General features: G+C 41.2%; 4 pseudogenes; 2 read left to right on the forward strand and 2 right to left on the reverse strand.

The window, feature by feature from the left end:
- LOC100420175 (fatty acyl-CoA reductase 2 pseudogene) lies at positions 212 to 17,555 on the forward strand (annotated as a pseudogene).
- Positions 2,939 to 6,127, reverse strand: USP10P3 (USP10 pseudogene 3; annotated as a pseudogene).
- Positions 13,851 to 15,027, reverse strand: SSBP3P3 (SSBP3 pseudogene 3; annotated as a pseudogene).
- On the forward strand, positions 14,797 to 15,311 carry LOC100422530 (pleckstrin homology domain containing B2 pseudogene; annotated as a pseudogene).

The raw sequence follows: 21,299 nt of genomic DNA on the forward strand, positions 1-21,299 counted from the left end.
TGAATAGGGTTTATGTACACAAACACATCATCAATACATAAGACATTCCAAGTATCACATAACTGTGCAGCCGTGCCCCATCCTTTTCTTCCTGGTGTTTTGGTGCAGTCACCAAAATCTGATAGGTATGCCAGTTATGGGAGTAGGTGCAGTTATAGCAAGGCATGATGCTGACTTATCTCACTGTATTTCCTTCTGCTTAATCTTCTGTAGACATGCTGTGCAACTTAACATCACTGCCACCCAGAAGCTCTTACGGCTAGTCAGATGCCAAAGCTGGAAGCCTTTATACATATCTCTACTGCCTTTTCAAATGGTAACCTGAAGCACATCGATGAAGTTGTTTATCCGTGCCCTGTGGAGCCAAAAAAAAAATCGTCGATTCCCTTGAGTAATTGGTCAAATAAAGGGATCAAGGTGTGAGTAGAATGTTGCTCTCTTTGATTCTTTGTAGCTGTCTATTAATGAGACGATGAAGAGAAACAGTTTTGCAGCAAAATGCTTTGAAACGGTGCTAGCCTTAGCTACCTTGTCCCTGTTACCTCTTTCATCCCCTGGTGGGGAATATACTGCTGAAAGAGAAGGGGGATAGAAAATTCTTAAAGAAACATTTTGCTAAATTGTATAGGATTGCATGAGGTACTTGGGAATACTATACAAAGAAGTGGTTTCTCGCTTCTTAATGAACTTAGCATTGTCACTAGATAAAGCAAGTACAATGAATAGTATAAAATTTCAGAAGAAACATTTTTGATTCCGACATGAGTTTGGCATAGCTCCACAACTAACTAGCTGTGTGACTTTGAGAAAGTCCCTTGGCCTCTCTGAACCCCAGGTCCTTCATTTGTAAAATGGGCCCATTTGATTGTTGTGAGGTTGAATAAAGTTATATAAAACACTTATTGCAGTGCTAGGGAGTGTTTAATATCAGTTAATCAAATGATTAGTAAAGAAGAACTAACGAAGAATAAGAATTGCTCCAAGATCTGGCAGAAGTTCTCTTGACTTCTTTGGCTGAGACACCCTTTCCTTACTGTCCTATTATGCAAGAGAAATAGTGTCTAGGATTCTTCTCTTCTTGCCAATCAGCAGAAACCACTTTCATCGTAGGACACAGCTTGGGTCTCAGGACAGGTTTGTTTTCTGTTTCTTTATTCTGCTCCATTTCACTAAGTTTACTTTGCTTTTTGTTCAATTTTTTTTAAACTCTACATAAAAAGTATTATACCAGAAAAATGGACTCTTTCACAGTAAATTTATTACATTATAATTTTCTATAATACTGTATTTACATTTAATATATACTCTTTAAAAACTTTTAGCTTAATTAAGAGTTCATTCCCTTCAGGGAAAACATTTTTATCTCCTCCAGCTCTGAGAATAGATATTTTTGTCTGTCATATAAAAATGTCCAGGACAAAGAAGAATGAAAGTCATCTAAAGGACCTGGAGGTTACTTAAAGTTGCTAATAAATGGAGGTTTGCTACATTGATACAGAGAAACATTTTAGAGTGCACAATTTATCAGGATAGTGGGAGAAAAGGCAGGTGTACTCTGAGGCCCAATGTCAAGGCAGTAAACTATGCTTAAAGCCTCAGAGCATTTTCAGGATAGAATTGACTGCTGTCAGTTATCCTCTTATGGTGTTGTCTCTTGGCAAATGTGATGCTTCCATATTTGATGTACCCAGGAGAGGGGCAGACCCTTTTGTTTCCAGACTGTTTCCTGGGACTGTCTCCACTGCTGATCTCTCTAACGCCTGACAGGTCGTAGTGCAATTTGAGGCAGCAAAATAGTCTGAGAGTTCATCAGAGAAAATAAGTAAGAGTTCACTCCTAATGAAGGGCTTCTCTATGTACTCCATACCACCATCTCCAGACACTAAATACCCATGGGTTTCAAAGAAGAATAAACTCACCTCCCAGAGGAAGAGTTGATTTATCTTCAGGCATTCGGCACTTTCCACACTCCCTCAGGTATATGTCAGCCAGACAAGGCTGGTAATTGCTACGTGATATATGAACAAACTGCAATTGACATTTTTACAAAATTTTTAATGTTCATCTGTCATTTACTGCTCTCCAAGGATAACAATTATTTGAGCAACTAATTAGAAATAGGTATGAAATTATTTTATCTCAACAGATACATTTTGCATGCAATTAAGGAACAAAGTTTTTTTAAAAAAAAACAGAGAAAAAGTCATACTTATGATTTGTTAATTCAAAATTAATTAGGACATCCAGGAGCACCTGTGGAGCCTCATTTCTCTCAGCCCTCCCCTTACCTTCATGCTGCAGTCACAAGGAAGTAAGGCCTCCTCTCCTCACACTCTGCCTGCCTTTGCGCTCAAAGCTCTCTGTTCCTAGAGCCTATTTCCCCTTCTGCTTCACCTGGTTAATTCTTACTCAGACATCAAGGCTCCCTGTGAAGCTCTCTGGCTTAGGCAGCCTTCCCAAGTGCCCCATAGTACCCAGCGCTCAGCTTTATTATTGCTTGTAACACAGGTCATTCTGAATGTCTGGTTGCTTATCTACATTTTCCTTTAGACAATGACCGTCTCAATGGAAGAGAATATTTCTTGCTCCTCTTTGCATCTTCAGCTAGGGACTCAATGCTTGCTTGCTGAGTGAAAAGTTTTTGGTGGAACTAGATGATTGTTGTTCATACTGTTCTGACTGTTTTTTTTTTTTTTTGCTTGTTTTGACTGAAACAAGAATAGATGACAGAATTCCACAACAAGCTAATATTTGGGGATGCAGAAGTCTTATGTACAAAATATCTATTTATATCCCCACATCTTACCCATTTCTGATTGTTCATTTTTTTCTTCTTAAAGTTTGAATGAAACCTATATGTGAAGCTTTGAATAGCACTTTACATAAAGCCCAGCAACCCCTCTCCACCTATACCATCATCTATGACTATTTCTTTTTTTTTAAACCAACTTTGTGATTTTTATCGATGGGTGACAACTTTATACTCCTAGATATCACTAAACTGTGTACAATTAGGGATGCAGCATTAGAGAAGAGCAGACAGCAGAATTAAACAGAGCAGACTGAAGGAGAGATCTTCATTATTTGTCCATTTTTCATTATGTGTACACAGAAGCATGAATGCAATCTGAAATCTTTTTAATGGCAGTAAAGTTACAATCATCCATCTATGTAGACTAACATTTTAACTCCAAATATTTGATCTGCAATGTCTATGTAAGCAGTTTCCCTCAGCACAATTACTAATTTTTTTCCTGTTAGGAACCAGCAACTTATTTTTTATGTTTATTTTTCTTTTGAAGTAAGAACTAGTTCTTCTTTGATAACTGGCTCATTTTTATCATTTATCAAAAACTAAAGGGTAGGGAAGAAAAATGTGATGGATTAAAACATTTCTTTTTTAAGGAAGATAAAATTCATTTTCACAAATTTACAAGTGTTGCTGGTGCAGGATTTATTCTACTAAGCAATGAGACTGGGGATCAAATCCACTTTCTTATCTCAGGAATCAGCATTATTTCAGAAATATGGGTTTTTGTGTGTTTTTTAAAATCAAGCGACAGTCTGTTTCAACCAAATGATTTTGATTTCAAAGTTAGAGTCAACAGAAGCTATGTTGTGCACGAACCCCAAGGCATCTCCTTTTCATTCTAGCCCATTTTTGCAAAGGGAGAAAGAGTTTCTCTCTAAAGAGCCAATAAAGAGAGGCGGAAAGTGAGTGTGAGGTGGTGTCCTACAAAGCGGACACTGGGCTCACACACAGCGCACACAGGGTTTACAGCAGGTCCACTCGGCAGTAATACAGGAGATGGGCTGTGCGTTCAGCAGTTGGTTTCACCACCTGGTACTGGTTGATCACCTTGACTGTCTGGTCATCGATGCGCAGCCAGCCATTCAGACCGATCTGGAAGACGTCTCTAGTGTAATGGCCACCCGTCGCACTGTTGCCGTGATGGTAGACCACTGCAAAGAGCCGATAGGTTCTGTGGCATTTAAAATTCTTATTTTTAACCCCTGGAGAAAGCAGTTCTTTACTAATTTCCAAGTCCACAGGATATTCAATAAGCTTCTGGCACCACCAGTTTTCTCATAAACGAATCGTTTCAGGTGCAGCACGAGGACAGGAGGGAGTTTTTCCAGAGTCACTCTTCGACTTTTCTCAACTTCTTGTTCGGTTTTTGTGGTATAACCTTGGACAGATTCTCTTGCCACCAAGCTCTCCAGTGCATCCTGGACTGTGCGTATTTTGTCAGACTGGATATCCAACTGCAACGTGAAAAATGGCTGCAAAGTGGCAGATTCTTTTGCACTCTGCTGGTAAACCACAGACCTGATGTGGCCACCAAAAATGTGGTGATTGGAGTCTGAACAAAATCCGCCTGGCGGGTGATGGAAGTCTTGTTCCGGGGGCCCACTTGTTCCCATTCATCCTCGCTTCCTTCACCTTGTTTTTCTTGCTCTTCTTCATTGACTGGTTTTTGGGGCCATTGGAAATCGCACGTTTTTCATTATTTGGTGAGAGAAGCTTCTTTAGGTTCAACATTTCCTCATGAAGTCCATTTAGAATGAAGCCTAAGTATTCCTCAGCATCTTCTTGTCGATCCTTTTCAGACAGGCTTGACTTGTTAACTGTCAGGAGTCTAAATATACGTGGGCTCAAAGGCAGCTCCAGGGCGAATATCCCTCACGATTTTATCTCCAAGAGCTTGTCCGGGTTTTGGAGGTACTGGCATATTAGTAAATTCATTCATTAGCCAAACAAAGCTGTCTACCTTGGGTGTTGACGTACAGGGCCTTTGCACTTTGGAATACAGAGGAATGAACTTCATCAGGTGGTACATTGTCGGGAAAGCAACCAATGCCTGGCTACAGGATCCCCTGAAACTGGAACAAGCCCTTCTTTGACTTCAACCTGCTTTTCAGAAACCAGGGGAGATATAGCGGGAGGGGAATACTTAGCTTCCACATAGGCCACCGGCCAGGAGGAAGAGGGCTTAGAATCGTGAAAGAGACTGGTCCAGGACCTGGGCTGGCTGACAGGAAGGGTGCCTGATGCAGAGCCCGTGCCGTCAGCAGGAGGTGATGGACTCTCGGGTTTGGCTGGGTCCAAGTCTATGCTTTCCATGGTGTGCAACTCCACCCCGTTGGTAGCTGTGCCCTCACCCGAGGATTCGAGTATTTGTCCATTAGCAACTCCAAGGTTTTCAGTAGTATCGGTACCAACGCAGGGCTGAGCCCCAGCTGTCCTTGACAGGGTGTCTCTGCCAGCCCCTGCAGGGAAGCAGGACTGACCAAAATCAACCCCGGGACCCCCCTCCTGCTGCCCTGCAGTCCCGGTGTCACTGCCGAGTGCTCCGGGGAAAGGACTGTCAGGCACAATGTCACTGACAGAGTCCGTGGAGTTCTGGGGGCTGTCAAAAGTCCTGGGCGTAACTGACGGGGGCATGTCACCCATAAATTCTGCATCCTCTGCACTGACACTGTTCGGGACTGCTGAGTTGGCATGGCCATTGACCAGGGCTTCTGTGGAAATACTATCATCGCCACCATCTTTCAAACAGCTGTAATATCCAGGTGGCTGCTTTTTCTTCTTTTTACGCTCCCTTTGTCCAAGACCACCTGAGACACCATCATTTTCCAAAACTTCCGCCTCCACACTAGAACTTCCATCCAAAGCGAGGGCACAGCCTGGGTACTGGTCGATGGAGCCATAGCTTGCTTCTTTAGTGATACCATCAGGGGTTGTTTTGGAAGCTGTACAACCGAGAATAAATTCGGGGGCCTGAGGGTTCAGTGTGCTTGAAATACTGTAGCTGGGGGTTCTCAGCAAAGTGTCACTGGGTTCAATGACTTCATTGACACCAAACTCAATTCTCCGATATTCTTGTCCATCAGGTAGTTTATCCCCAGCTTGTGTGCCACACAGAACTGTTCCACTGCATGGAGGAAGCTCAACTGAAGATCGAGGAGTCACAAAGAACTGATTGAATTCATCAGGGCTAAAATCTCCAAAAATATACTGCGGGCTGTGGAGGGCCATGGCTGCCGGTTTCAATGGGACTCGGCGCTCCTCCGGCTGCTCACGCTGCCTCCCCCGCCGCCGCCATCTTCTCCCCCGCACATACACCCATCTATGACTATTTCAATAACTCCTATAACAGATGGAATTTTTGCAAGTTTTAGAATAACAAATAACATTAAAAATCCTTATGAATAAACATTAATTTACCTAAATGCAGGTTTAGTTTTTTGCTTTAAGAAAATACTTTTGATGAGTTCTCTATTTAGTAATTGGCCTGTGTTATAAAAGAATTATTTTCAAAGGTTTTTAGGTTTCTGTTTCCCCTGGGAGTTTGTTTTTCTTTCAGTGAAACAGAGAAATAGCTAGGGAACAGTTTTTTTTTTTAAACAGTAACTTCAAGGGGTCTAGCAGCTGTCATTTGCTCTTAGTATTTCAGCTGTTCTTAAGGAATCAGGAGTTAGACATCAAGATAATCTAGAAGCTGTACTCTGGGCATTGTGATCTCAAAAAAATAGCCATGACACTGTAAAAGGAAACTTTATTTTTCCAGAAAATCTGTTGAATGGGAATTCCAGTTCTGGAAGATAAAGAAGGATTTGCATTTTTGGCCAGGACCTTTCTGATGGCTTGGGCAGCAGTGATACTGCTCAGTGCTGTTAATAAAGTGAATGGGACTGTGAACGTGAACCTCATGCTTACATCCTGGTCCCTACCTTTGCAAGCCTAACGTCTCTCTTCGTTCAGCTCCCCCCATTTTCTATTCGGCCTATATCCTGAGACTGTCGGGCCTGAGCTCCCTTTCTTTAGCCCCTATCTAAAAATTTTAGATTACCTTGGCTCTGAAATATTCCAGAAAGATGAAATTTGATTTTGTTAGCACAAAAACTTTAGCATGTCAGCATAAAAATATTTTAAAATAACTTAAATGAGAAGTTAATGTTTGTAATGAGTAGGACAAGCATGGCCATTAATCAGTGTTAAGCAACTAATTTTCCTGGCTCTTATACCTGTAGTTTTCTTCTGGCCCTCATCCCAGCCACCAGTTCCCATCCTGACTCATCTCTATCTTCATATTACCACCTTCTGCCTATTTGCTGTATTTACCTTGGAAATTTAGTGGCATAAATGGATCAGGGATTGCCAGTGAAATTCTGGTTTTCCAGAATAACAGCTTAAGTAGAAAGTTTATTTTTTAAAATGCACATAACTGACTAAGAAAGGCAGAGTTTTATGGTTGGTGCTTTTCTTATGTTTTAGGTCAAGGTAACTCCTCTTAGGGGAACCAGTGTAGAAGAAAAGGGCTTCTGCACCTGTATAAAAACCTGAAATAACTAGAATTAGGAACTAGAAAAATGGAATCACAAATACCTATTGCTTTATTGAACATATGTTAATAAATCTGAATTAAGAAGGGAAGGGAGGAGATGAGTCATTATTGAGCAATCACTGTGAGCGAGATGCTTTCACAGACATTTATTTCCATAACTTAATATTGTAGGGTTGATTTATTATCACTGCTATACTAATTAAGGAGCAAAAAGCTCAGGAAGGCTAAGTAACTCCTTGAAAGTCTCTCAAGACTTTCTTTACCTTTCAAGAAAGGTATCCATGGCCACTTGATTCTGAAGCTCATGGTCTTTCCAGTCTACTCACATACTCGGCAGTGTTAGAGATTAAAAGGTGCTTTCTTAAGATATAGACTGTTCCCAAGGAGCTCACGTCCCAGACAAATAGAACAGGGAAGAATTATACACGTGGGGTGGTGGGGAAACAGTACATATTAAGTCTGGTGGAGTGGAGAGAGGCATATGAGGTGACTTGGAAGAGTGGGAGGAGTGTGGATAGGTGAGATGTGCACAGACACCAGGCAGGGCAACTGGAGCTGGGAAACCCAGGCGTGTTTGGGACACAGCCAGAAGTCCCTCTTGGCAGCACATGTGTTATGTGTAGGGAAGCAGTTAGAGATCAAGCTGGAGAGGCAGGTTGGGCCATACTGTGGAGATTTTGCATACCATGCAGAGGAATTGGATTTAATTCTCTAGGCAGTGGAGATCCATTGAAGGAGGGCCATGTGTGTGCATGTGGTTTTGTGTAGTTTTTGGTTGCTTGCTCATTTGTTTTCATCGTGGAAAGACACTGATGAAAGTGGGCTTCAGTAATATTAATATGGCCAGGGGCTGGGGGAGGCAGTAGATTAGCATGTGTATTGGGAAAGAAAAAAAAACAATAGGACATGGCTACTGCTTTGCTTATGGGATTACACATACCAAATTAACTCCAGATTAGAACATGCATACTTGCCATGTTTTACATTTCTAGTGCCAGGGATTTAATTTTTTTTAATAAATGAGAAAGTAAAGTTTATTGTGTTTAAGTATTTTTAATGAGATCATGTTTTTAGTGAGAACTGGGACCAAACAGATTTTCTGACTCCAAATAGATATTTCCATTGGAACAGATCTATAAGTATACAGACATGCAAACACATATTTCTTTACTGTTCATAATCAAGTGTCAATTAGTCCTTATTAGAATGTGGGATGTATAAATGTAAGAGAATTTTCAGTTAAAATTGACAGATACATTTTTTAATTGTCCTAAAATGGATTTAATTATTTTTCTTTAATGTTATTTTTATGAGAAGTGATATAACTTTATTGATAATGCATACAATAACTCTTTGTTTTGCACATTGTTTGGAAATACAATGTATTTTGCAAGTAACTAAAGCCCAATTTAAATTAAAATTTTAAATTTTCAATCTTTTTAATTGTGATTATTATTATACTTTAAGTTCTGGGATACATGTGGAGAACGTGCAGGTTTGTTACATAGGTATACACATGACATGGTAGTTTGCTGCACCCATCAACCTCTCATCTACATTAGGTGCTGGAGATGATGTGGAAAAAGAGGAACGCTTTTACACTGTTGGTGGGAGTGTAAATTAGTACAACCATTGGGGAAGACAGTGTGGCTATTCCTCCAGGATCTAGAACCAGAAATACCAATTGACCTCACAATCCCATTTCTGGGTATATGCCCAAAGATTATAAATCACTGTACTATAAAGACATGCACACACATGTTTATTGCAGCACCGTTCCCAATACCAAAGACTTGGAACCAACCCAAATGCCCGTCACTGATAGACTGGATAAAAAAAGTGGCACATATACTCCATGGAATACTCTCAGCCATAAAAAAGGATGAGTTCATGTCCTTTGCAGGGACACGGATGAAGCTGGAAGCCATCATCCTCAGCAAACTAACACAGGAACAGAAAACCAAACACCACATGTTCTCACTCATAAGTGGGAGTTGAACAATGAAAACACATGGACACATGGAGGGGAACATCACACATTGGGGCCTGTGGGGAGCTAGGGAAGGGATAGCATTAGGGGATTTAATTCTTTCAAAATTTAATTCTGTTGAAATGTTTACTTCAAGAAGCAATGCATTTTTGAGAGCTAATCCTGATCTATTCAAATCTTAACAACTTAAGTTGATGGAGTGGACTTCTTCTAAATTAGTGATTCCCTAATTTGCCTGACTGTTGGAATTTCCAGGGCATGTTGAAAATACACATTATCCAGACTCTTACCTCTGCAGATCTATTTAGTGGTTCTAAAATGGCAGCCAGGAGTCTGGATTTTTCCCAGGGGTCCTGTGTAATTCACACTGATGAACAGGCAAGTTTGGGAAATAGTGCCTTAAGGAGATTTTTCATTAAGCAGTCTTCATTTGAAATGAGGATCGTTTATCTTCTAATACTCCATGCTTCCTCTTTCTCCTGCTCTCCTCGCCTCCTGTTGTCTTTCAGTTCCTAGAAGCTTTAACTGAATGAAAGGTCCTAGTAGATCTGTACCTACTAAAAACCACACTTCTGAAGCTATGTGGCCACCAGAAGACACAGCTAGTCTGCAATGTAAAAAAGGAAAGGTGGTGTGTGCACTGAGGGTACAGGGTTGAGGGGCAGGGAAATGGAGACCCTCACAGCCAGCAGCAGTGGCCCTCATCACAGCCCTCCAGGAGATAGGAAAGGAGGTCAGATCTTGGACAGTAGTCTTGCCTTCCTGCTATAGAACACATTGTTAACACCAAAAAAGCTGATCTCTTCTAGGGGAATGGTGAAAGCTGACTCTAGCACTTGTGCTTTTAATTTCAGGGTGGCACAGCTTCTAAATGGCATCTAAGTTGCTGATACAAAAATGAAAATTCTGTGTACTTTGATATTAGCAGGCTTTAAATACAAACCAGAATAAGATTAAATTGTTTCTTAATCAAATCGAATAATTTTCACATTGGCAGTCCATTCGGCATCTGGCTCATGTTTGGGCTAGGCTGAGTAGTCCGTGAAAGTCTGGAGGGAAATACAGAGGCCAATTCTCCATAAGCATTAGGTTGAGAAATACCCTGCTTCCCCATGAAAAGTTTAAATTGATGTGACGCCACCTTCACCAAATCGAGGTTGGTCAACACTTTTCACCACTGCCACTGGACACTTTGACTTCCAATTTTGCTTCCTGCTCTATGAAGATATCCCCTTCTTTCCTTTCCCACATTCTCCCTATAACCTCATCTTCCTTTCGTCTACTCTCTCTTATCATTGTCCATCTCTGCTTCCCAAAACCTTATATAGTACAGAAATTGACCAATCAAGATTACCATGTGGAAGAGCATCCATTTACTGAATAAGGTAGCTGGCTCCTGGGGGCAGAAAAGTGATTAGATACAGAGATAAAAATCATAATCCCTGCTCTCCTGGACTCACTGTCCAATGGGGAGACAGACACGTGAACAAATACAACTTCGTAACTACAACAATCAAGTGAACTATATAATTTAGACTGGAGAAAGAAAGAGCAAATGTTATCATAAGACAGTGTGTCCACTACTTACTCTCTAACAGATTTCCTCATAAACCACTAGGCTTGCCAACTTGTTGCATAAGAAAATTGGAAGGTGAGGGAGGGAAAATACATATGCCTCTTGGCATTTCATTCTGTAAATACATAAATAATGTAACTATTAATGATATCATCATGTTGATTCAATAAGTTTGAAACCAAAATTGATAGTAATCTTTAGAAGAAATTATGTATGTGTCTATGCATGTACACACATAGACATACACATATTGCTTTCTGAAATTTTTAATGACTTTATGCTTCTTCTGAAGCAATTCGAGTTTAGTATTTGAGACCCATGGGTCAAAGCATCTTCTTGAGTATACTGAAGAACATTTAGATTAATTTCAGACATGTATTTTGGTTAATATAGTGGTTTTTATCCATGCTAACTTATTTACTGTTTAAAAACATATTGAGAACAAACAACAGCAGCAACCCTGAATTGAGTGAAAGTCCTGAGAAGGGCTTTGCCCAATCAGTGCATATGCATGTTTACACTAATCTCCTTTCTGATCCTAGGAAGTGGCCGAATGAGCTAGCAGATGGTCTCTTTGGCTGTATTATAAACGATAATTTATTTTTATTTGTTTTATTCATTCATTCCTTCATTTTGAGACAGGGTCTCACTCTTTCACCCGGGCTGGAGTAGGGTGGCAGAATCACAGCTCACTGCAGCCTTCAACTCCCAGGCTCAAGCAATCCTCCTGCCTCAGCCTCCTGAGTAGGTGCACGCCACCATGCCCAGCTAATTTTTAAAAACTCTTTTTGTAGAGACAGGGTCTTATTATGTTGCCCAGGCTGGTCTCAAACTCCTGGACTCAAGCGAGCCTCCTTCCTTGGCCTCTCAATGTGCTGGGATTATAGGTTAGAGTCACCACACCTGGCCAGAAACGACATTTTAAAACCAACTATTACCTACACAGATGTATGATGCTCCCTTGTTTTCTTTAAAAATAGGAATGCCTTAGATTTTTGGCTCATTTTGTTTTATCAAAGATCTTAAATGCAGTTGTGAAAATTTTTGTTTACCCTCATAATAGCCTGAGAATTTAGAATGAATATAATTATTGCTATTTTCACAAGTAAAATTGGAATGAGAAGATTAAACAGTGGAATACAGGTGTAAATAACAACAGCAGAGGCAAGCCATCTATAGAATATTAAAATTTCTTGCATGTGTGTTACCAACATTTTCTCATGCCTGAAATCCCAGCACTTTGGGAGGCCGAGGCAGGTGGATCACCTGCGGTCAGTAGTTCGAGACTAGCCTGGCCAACATGGTGAAACCCCGTGTCTACTAAAAGTTCAAAAATTAGCCAGGCGTGGTGGCAGGCACCTATAATCCCAGCTACTCAGAAGGCTGAGGCAGAAGAATTGCTTGAACCTGGGAGGCAGAAATTGCAGTGAGCCCAGACTGCACCATTGCCCTCCAGCCTGGGGGGGACAAGAGCAAGACTCCATCTCCAAAAAAAAAAAAAAAAAAAACAAACAAATAAACCAAACCAAACCAAAACAACAACAACCAAAAACAACATTTTCCAAGACAAGCAAAGCTACTAAACTTTATAAGGCCCCATCCCCCCAAGTATTATGCTTTCCATGTACTCCAACATTAACGACAGCAACTGGTACTAGCCATGTGACATACAATCCCAGCACATTGTTCGGATCTGATGTTTTCTAGGAATTTTTTCTTTACAGCCTTATTGATATTAAGCTCTATTTTCTCAAGACCTGGTTTTCATAAACTGTATATTTTTGCGGTTGAGGGAAAATGATCTCAGGTCAGTCAATCCACTGTTGACCCACAAATGAAATAAGGTAGGCTTATTGTTAAGATGGAGAGGTGTCTGCATCATCCTACACTTTTTCCCAGCCTCCAGGTGACCATATAATTAAAATATCCTTGATATTTCTATGTAGTTTAAGTTGTTTTTAATTCTAGAACCCCTCAATCTTTCTCCATTCAATTTAAATGAAAAGTCATTTGAGTATCCAGAACACACTCAGCACTCATAGAAGCAAAGCAAGAAAAATGGAAACATTATAGTCAATGCCCATGTTCTACCCCAGGATGAAATGAGGCATTAATACTGAGAGTTGTGATTCTGAATAAGTCTTAACCTTCTGCACATCTTAGTTGTTCAAAAATGTGTCATGTCAGCAAGGTGATAACAGTGAAGATTTTCTACAATCAAAGTAGTATTGTTATGTTCTGTTGTATAAAATAGAAATAAATGTACCACATTGATCAGAAAAATCACACTAGCATATTCTGGCAGCTTAAATTTTTTATTATTGTACTTTAAGTTCTAGGGCACATGTGCACAACGTGCAGGTTTGTTACATAGGTATACATGTGCCATGTTGGTTTGCTGCACCCATTAACTCGTCATTTACATTAGGTACTTCTCCTAATGCTATCCCTCCCCTAGCCTCCACGCTAGGACAGGCCCCTGTGTGTGATGTTCCCCGCCCTGTCCAAGTGTTTTCATTGTTCAATTCCCACCTATGAGTGAGAACATGCGGTGTTTGGTTTTCTGTCCTTATGATAGCTTGCTCAGAATGATGGTTTCCAGCTTCATCCATGTTCCCGCAAAGGACATGAACTCATCCCTTTTTGTGGCTGCATAGTATTCCATGGTGTACATGTGCCACGTTTTCTTTCTTTCTTTCTTTGTTTCTTTGTTTCTTTCTTTCTTTTGTTTTATGGAATAAAAAGTTCGGCCTTTTTACTGCATGAAACTAAAATTGGAAAAGGTGGGCGTGGATGGGGTGGGAGGGGGTTGAGGGGAGCAGGAGATGCCCTCTCCACCAGCTCCTGGGTAATGACACCTCACTTCTTGCATAATTTCTGGCATCTTCCTGCCTGCAATGCCAGCTCTCTCAGCATCTTGGAGAAGGGGGGATCACACACTCATCGTCATGCTTGGAGAGTAATTGTCATTCTGAAAGGAGTGGAGGAAGTTTCCTCCTAGCTCGCCGTCATCTCGAGGGGTGCCTGGAAGATTGCTAATACTATTCACGTTGTTAGGAGAATTTTTTGGAAGTCATTTATGTTGCCTGACCCTAACAATCCGTTCATGTGGTGTGGCTCCATGCCACCCATGCTGCCCATCGGACCGTCCAAGCTGGGACCCATCGGGAAGTTGGACCGGCTGCCTCCAGGTGGCACCAGATTAATCAATGTGTAGATGTTGTCGCTGGAATTTGTTGAATCTGAGGGACTGGGCATAGTGGGTGTTCCTGGAGGGCCACCACCACCAGGGGGTCCCACATAGGTACCAGGTGATGAGGAGGAGTATGGAATTGAGTTAGCACTGTTAGAATTGGGCTAGGGTCTGCCGGCTCCCGGGCCCATGTTAATCCCGGGCATGGCAGGGCCAAGGGAATTGGGTGGTGGTCTCATGCCACTGCCGTAATTCTGTGGGCTGGGACTCATGGGCACCATGCCTCAGGGAGGGTTCATTCTCTGCATTGATCCTTCTATGTGGGGGTGGCCTTGTTGTCGTGTGGGATCCATGGAATTGGGCAGCAATGGCTGTTTCCCAGGAACTCCTCCGGAGGAGGCTGGTTTCCCATTCTGATCGGGGGGCCTGGGGCCGCCTGCGTATTGCGGTGACATAAAAGGCTGACTGTGGGGTCCCATCATGCTGCTAGGATTGTGAGGTGGAGGCTGTGCATGCAGTGAGGGCAGTGACCCCGGAGGACACTGAAAGAAACCTGGCGAGACTCGGCCTCCCGGCATCCCATCGTTGGGGGGAATGTTGCCAAGCACGGGGCTCCGGGCAGCTGCTGCACTAGAATCAGGAAAGGCTTTTGCTTCACTTGAATGTTCACAAGTGTCTCTCCTTTTAGGAGCTGCACAGTAAAGGTCCCAAAATACACACCACCACGAGTGCAAAAACCGAGGCTGTTCTCCCAACGTGATGTTTTTTTTTTTTTTTTTTCCCAGAGAATCTCCGATAAGAAGGTCTGTGCAGATTTCTGTGCTCCTACCTGCAGTAAATATTCGTAGACGTATAAAGCTAACTTTTCCCCAGCCTGCCCGTCCGAGGGCACCAACGAGCCTTTGTCTTTGGCAAACATGGTTTGCAGGGAAGAGGGCTCCAAGCCTCGCCACAGCCGCCACAGCTCCGGCTCTCCCGAGCTGCCCCTGGCTCCCGGCCCCCTCCCAGGCGCTCGCTCGCTCTCTCGCTAGCTGGCGCTCTCCTCGCCGCGCTCCCCTCCCTCCCGACCAGGCGCTGGCTCCGCGCTCTTTTCAGCTGTCAAAGCATCAGCCCGGACCAAGGCCCCATCGCCCTGGAACTCCTCCCGTGCCGGCTGGGCCTGGGGTGCCGCCGCCGCCGCCTCCCGAAAGGCCGCCAGGTCTCTGCTAGCTCAGGTGCTCGCCAGGCTCCGCCTGCACCGCCCTCTGCGCCTCCAGTACCGCTGCGGCCGCCGCCGCTGGTCTCATGTGTCATATTTTCTTAATCCAGTCTATGGTTGATGGACATTTGGGTTGGTTCCAAGTTTTTGCTATTGTGAATAGTGCCGCAATAAACATACGTGTGCATGTGTCTTTATAGTAGCATGATTTATAATCCTTTGGGTATATACCCAGTAATGGAATCTGGGTCAAATGGTATTTCTCGTTCTAGATCCTTGAGGAATCGCCACACTGTCTTCCACAACGGTTGAACTAGTTTACACTCCCACCAACAGTGTAAAAGCGTTCCTATGTCAAGCAATGGCAACAAAAGCCAAAACAGACAAATGGGATCTAATTAAACTAAAGAGCTTCTGTGCAGCAAAAGAAACTACCATCAGAGTGAACAGGCAACCTACAGAATGGGAGAACATTTTTGCAATCTATCCATCTGACAAAGGGCTAATATCCAGAATCTACAAAGAACTTAAACAGATTTACAAGAAAAAACAAAACAACCCCATCAAAAAGTGGGCAAAGGACATGAACAGACACTTCTCAAAAGAAGACATTTATGCAGTCAACAGACACACGAAAAAATGCTCACCATCACTGGCCATCAGAGAAATGCAAATCAAAACCACAGTGAGATACCATCTCACACCAGTTAGAATGGCAGCTTAATTTTTAAAACGCTGTATCAATAATTTAAGCACATAGATCTCTCAGCTAGAATAAATGTTACATATTTAATTGACAATAATTTTTTGCTCTCTTAGAGATGTGTAGATAGACTTTGGGTTTATCAAATGGTTCTTTTTTTTTTTTTTTTTGAGATGGAGTCTCACTCTGTCACCAGGCTGGTGTGCAGTGGTGCGATCTTGGCTGATTACAACCTCCGACTCCTGGGTTCAAGCGATTCTCCTGCCTCAGCCTCTCAAGTAGCTGGGATTACAGGCATGTGCCACCATGCCCAGCTCATTTTTGTATTTTTAGTAGAGACGGGGTTTCACCATGTTGGCCAGGATGGTCTCGATTTCCTGACCTCAATATCCGCTCGCCTCGGCCTCCCAAAGTGCTGGGATTACAAGTGTGAGCCACTCCGCCAGGCCAGTTCTGACATATTTTTAAGAAAGATTAGGCTGATGCTATGGTAACTCAGTTATTCATGATACATGTCATATTATAAGTAGGAGAATTCAATATTCATGATTTTGAAGCAATTTCAGAGTACTATAATCACCCCACTTGACAGACTTCGAATTCATTGGAAATCTCTGGAAATAATTAGCAAGTTATTAGCACAGACTCTAAACAGACCTTCAAAATGCGTTACATAGATTTGCTAGAAGAGATTGTCAGTCTGCCAAAAGTAGTCACTTTGGTTTGATTTGCATTGAATGAAATTTTTTAAATGTAAAGCTAAACTCTTCAGGATCACTGCACCAGGTTTCTATGGGACAACACTGAACAGGGCTGCCACTGAAACACCTTGGATGAGAGCCTCAAACTCCCTGAACACAGCTTCCAGCACACTATTGGGAGAATGACTGGAACTCAAAAATGTGTGCAATGAATGTACTTAGGAGCTTCTTGGAGAGGAAGTAAAGAGGTTGTATGTAATAACCTCCAGTTTAGTACTACTACAGATAAAGTAGTAGTATTGGTAAAGTAATTGATAAATAAATAGTAGTGCTAAAGTCATACTAATAAAGTAGTACTAATAGCCCTATACTAGTAGTAATAATAAAGTGGTATTGCTATTGATTCTATTGGTCTCTCTACCTACCTATCTCTCTAGATGGGAGGGCATAGGATTTGGCTGATGAGATTGGGCTTAGCAGTGAAGAGCAAAGAGCTCATGCATGCTTTGAACAGGTATGCCCTCAAACTTGGTATTGTGTGACTAAATTCCAGAACCAAGGCTAAAAGGTGGAAGTTTTGTTTGACTATTTGCGTGTCACATTTTCCTTTTGGTCTATTGTCTAACATATGCTGCTAGAATTCTTTTCACTCTGACTACTTTTTACGTGGTTAGACGACGCTGTTATTGACGAGATCACACCCAAGCTGATCAGAGATCCGCCCAATTCTTGCACCTACATCAAGGCCTTGGGAGAAATGGTGGTGCAGCAGGAGAGCAGAAACCTAACCATCGCCATCATAAGGCCCTCCATTGTGGGAGCAACGTGGCATGAGCCTTTCCCAGTAAGCCCACTCACCTGGATTCTGTGTTTTGCTTCCAAATTAAAGTTCTTCTAGCCCAATTACTTTCTGATGTCGTTTCTCCCCCTTGTCCTCCTTCTCCTTCTTCTTTCTTCATCTTCTTCCTCTTCCCCTTCCCCTCTTCCTCCTCCTCCTCCTCCTCTTCCTCCTCTTCCTCCTCCTCAGGATTTATAGCTAAGTGCAGCCAATCAAATATGAACCCATTATACTAGGGCAAAATTCCACTTTGGGATCAGGATTTACTCAGCATGCAGCTTCTCTGGCAGTTACCCTGACTGTCCTAGAGTTGAATGGAGATCTTAAATTAGCTTCTAATTACTCTAGCCTCAAAATTCCCATGGGTGATGGCTTCATATCTTGGCTTTCCCACTATAGTTTAAACATACCGAATGTTCTTAATGGTCAAATTGGTAGTATTGCAACTGCCAGGGTAAACAAGGGTTACAAAGTGCACAGAAGGATCCCAGTTTGGGAATACTGTTTTTCCTAACCTCAGTATAGTGCTATGTCCTTTTAAAAGTACTTTGAATTATGCTATCTTCTTTTTTTTATTATACTTTAAGTTCTAGGGTACATGTGCACAATGTGCAGGTTTGTTACGTATGTCTACATGTGCCATGTTGGTTTGCTGCACCCATTAACTCGTCATTTACATTAGGTATTTCTCCTAATGCTATCCCTCCCCTAGCTTCCATGCTAGGACAGGCCCCCGTGTGTGATGTTCCCCGCCTTGTGTCCAAGTGTTCTCATTGTTCAATTCCCACCTATAAGTGAGAACATGCGGTGTTTGGTTTTCTGTCCTTGCGGTAGTTTGCTCAGAATGATGGTTTCCAGTTACATCCATGTCGCTACAAAGGATATGAACTCATCCTTTTTTATGGCTGCATAGTTCTCCATGGCTTGTATGTGCCACATTTTCTTAATCCAGTCTATCATCGATACAGATTTGAGTTGGTTCCAAGTTGTTGCTAATGTGAATAGTGCTGCAATAAACATATGTGTGCATGTGTCTTTATAGTAGCAGGATTTATAATCCTTTGGATATATACCCAGTAACGGGATCGCTGGATCAAATGGCATTTCTAGTTCTAGATCATTGAGGAATCGCCACCCTGTCTTCTACAATGATTGAACTAGTTTACACTCCCACCTACAGTGTAAAAGTGTTCCTATTTCTCCACATGCTCTCCAGCACCTGTTGTTTCCTGACTCTTTAATGATCGCCATTCTAACTGGTGTGAGATAGAATTATACCATCTTCTGTAAAGCAAGTCTGTGAAGCTTTGGGGCGGATAAATTCCAGCTCCACCACTTACTGGCAATGCAAAATTTTTGAGTTGTCCCTTCCATAAAACAGGAGGGATACTATTTTGGAGACCTGGTTTAATGAGACAATGTATGAGGAGTGCTCAGTCTCTAGTAAAAGGCAGGTCCTTACTAAAAGGCTCATGGATATTAATCCCTTCATCTTCTCCTCCTGCCTCTCTCCTTTCCCATTATACACACACATTTTGACTTTTACACTATGAGGTAAAGAGACATAATAAGGTCAGCTGAATGGCTTAGGGTTTAGGAAACAAACTCAAAAAGACATTTCCCTCTAATTGTTCTTAAACATAATCTTCCCTGTAACATCTTTAAGCAAGTCAACACACACACACACACACTACATATACACACACACACACTACATATACACACACACACATACATATGTGTATCTGGCATGGGCTCTATAGCTGGTCAAAAATGTCAAGGAATGGGCCATTACTACCAATCATGTCTCCAATATTCTCCTAAGGAGGCTAAAGTCAGGACTGAGGTGGAGAAGTATGGTTGGTGAATTGCTTAGCAGATCATAATATAAGAACAAGGTTCAATGTGGCCCTTAAGATGTCATAAAACACCACAAAACCATTCATGACTCCTGCTACGAACAACAATCCTGGCCAAATTTTAATTTTTGCATAGTCAAGGTGCAGAAAATAGCCAATGCTTTGCCACTGATCCTTCAGATCTTAATAATACTGAATTAGATAGTTCTGTTGGCTGGGGTCTCAGTGCTCTTGTTTGAAATTTATTAAGATGAGACTGCAGATGTTTCAAAGATACAACAATCTTCTGAAATGTGTAACCAATAGAAACCTTCTTTCTTTTAGGGTTGGGTTGAAAATCTAAATGGACCTAGCAGACTTATTATTGTGGTATGTTTAAGGATGAAGAAATAACTCTCTGAAATGTAGTGGAGGAATAGTAATAAAATTCTTAGTGCTGGCTTAAATTCATTGATCCCAAAACATAAATGTTACTTTACTAACAATTGAAGCATATTATTGCAATTATGCTGATCGTAATATAGAAGTAGGAAGAAATTATTTTTATTCTTCAAGGATTTTTATCAGAAAAGCCAAGGTAATGTATTATCAATTACCATTCAGGAATTCTTCTTTAAAAAACTTTTTTAAATTAAAAATATTAGTCTTAATTGAGTGTGGATAATAGAAATCCCATAATTATCTTATTTTTATTAGACACCTTCTCAAAGTAGTTTTACATTACTTTATTCTCCTTTTGTTTATAATATAATAAATGTGTCTGAAACAATATGTACAACAGACTAATAAATGGTTCTGTTTAGCTAAGACTACTCTAGTCTATACCATGAAAATGTTCGGTCTAAATTTCTAAACATTATAAACAACAATTTTTTGAAGTGCTCTGATTTTCCTAAGAATACAATACTCCTGACTTTCTTAAGTTTACACATGTAAATGAGAAGGAACTATAAATGAAAATATCATACCTCTTCTTTAGCTATTAGAATTTTCAGCTGAGGTTTTATATCATCACCAATTTAGTGTCACTCCTTTGCTCTGCAAACTTCAGCTCTCAATATATAGTTAATACTTTTATTTTCTGGAGATTTTTAGACTTTAAAGAACTCATTCAAGATTGTTTAAGAAACAAAGCAGGGGATGAATTGAAGACTTTCGTTTTAAAAGTAAGTGCAGCACAATTATGAAGATTAAGCCTGGTGAATATGAAAGGCAGACAGCACCAAATGCTGGTGATGCTGGTAGGAATGCAAATGTTACACCACTTACGAAGACAGTTGGTCAGCTTTTTACAAAACTAAGCAAACTCTTATCATATAATCTAGCAATAATGCTCCTTAGTATTTACCCAAAGAAATTGAAAACATGTCCACACAAAAACCTGCACGATAATGTTTATAGCGGTTTAATTCATAATTGCCAAACTTGGAAGCAACCAAGATGTCCTTCATTAGGTAAATGGATAAACTGTAATACATCCAAATAATTAAATGTTATTCAGCATTAAAAAGAAATGACCTATCAAGCCATAAAAAGACATTAAGCAATCTCAAATACATGTTTCTGAGTGAAGCCAATCAGGAAATGCTACGTACTGTATGACTCCAGCTACATGACATTCTGGGAAAGGCAAAACTATGGAGACAGTTAAAAAAAATCAGTGGTTGCCAGGAGTTATGGGGGACAGAGGGACGCACAGATGGAGCACAGAGGAATTTTAGGGCAGTGAAACTCTTCTGTATAATACTATAATTATGGATATTACGTTCAGATTTTTAAATAAATAAAACTGAAATTTAAAATAGAGTAAGAGGGAATCAGGTTAATTTGTTTCAACTGAAATTCATGATCACAAAGCTCCTGTCTTTATGTTTCCCAGAAAAAAATATTCC

The sequence above is a fragment of the Homo sapiens genome, chromosome 22, assembly GCF_000001405.40.
Source record: "Homo sapiens chromosome 22, GRCh38.p14 Primary Assembly".
Classification (NCBI taxonomy): domain Eukaryota; kingdom Metazoa; phylum Chordata; class Mammalia; order Primates; family Hominidae; genus Homo; species Homo sapiens.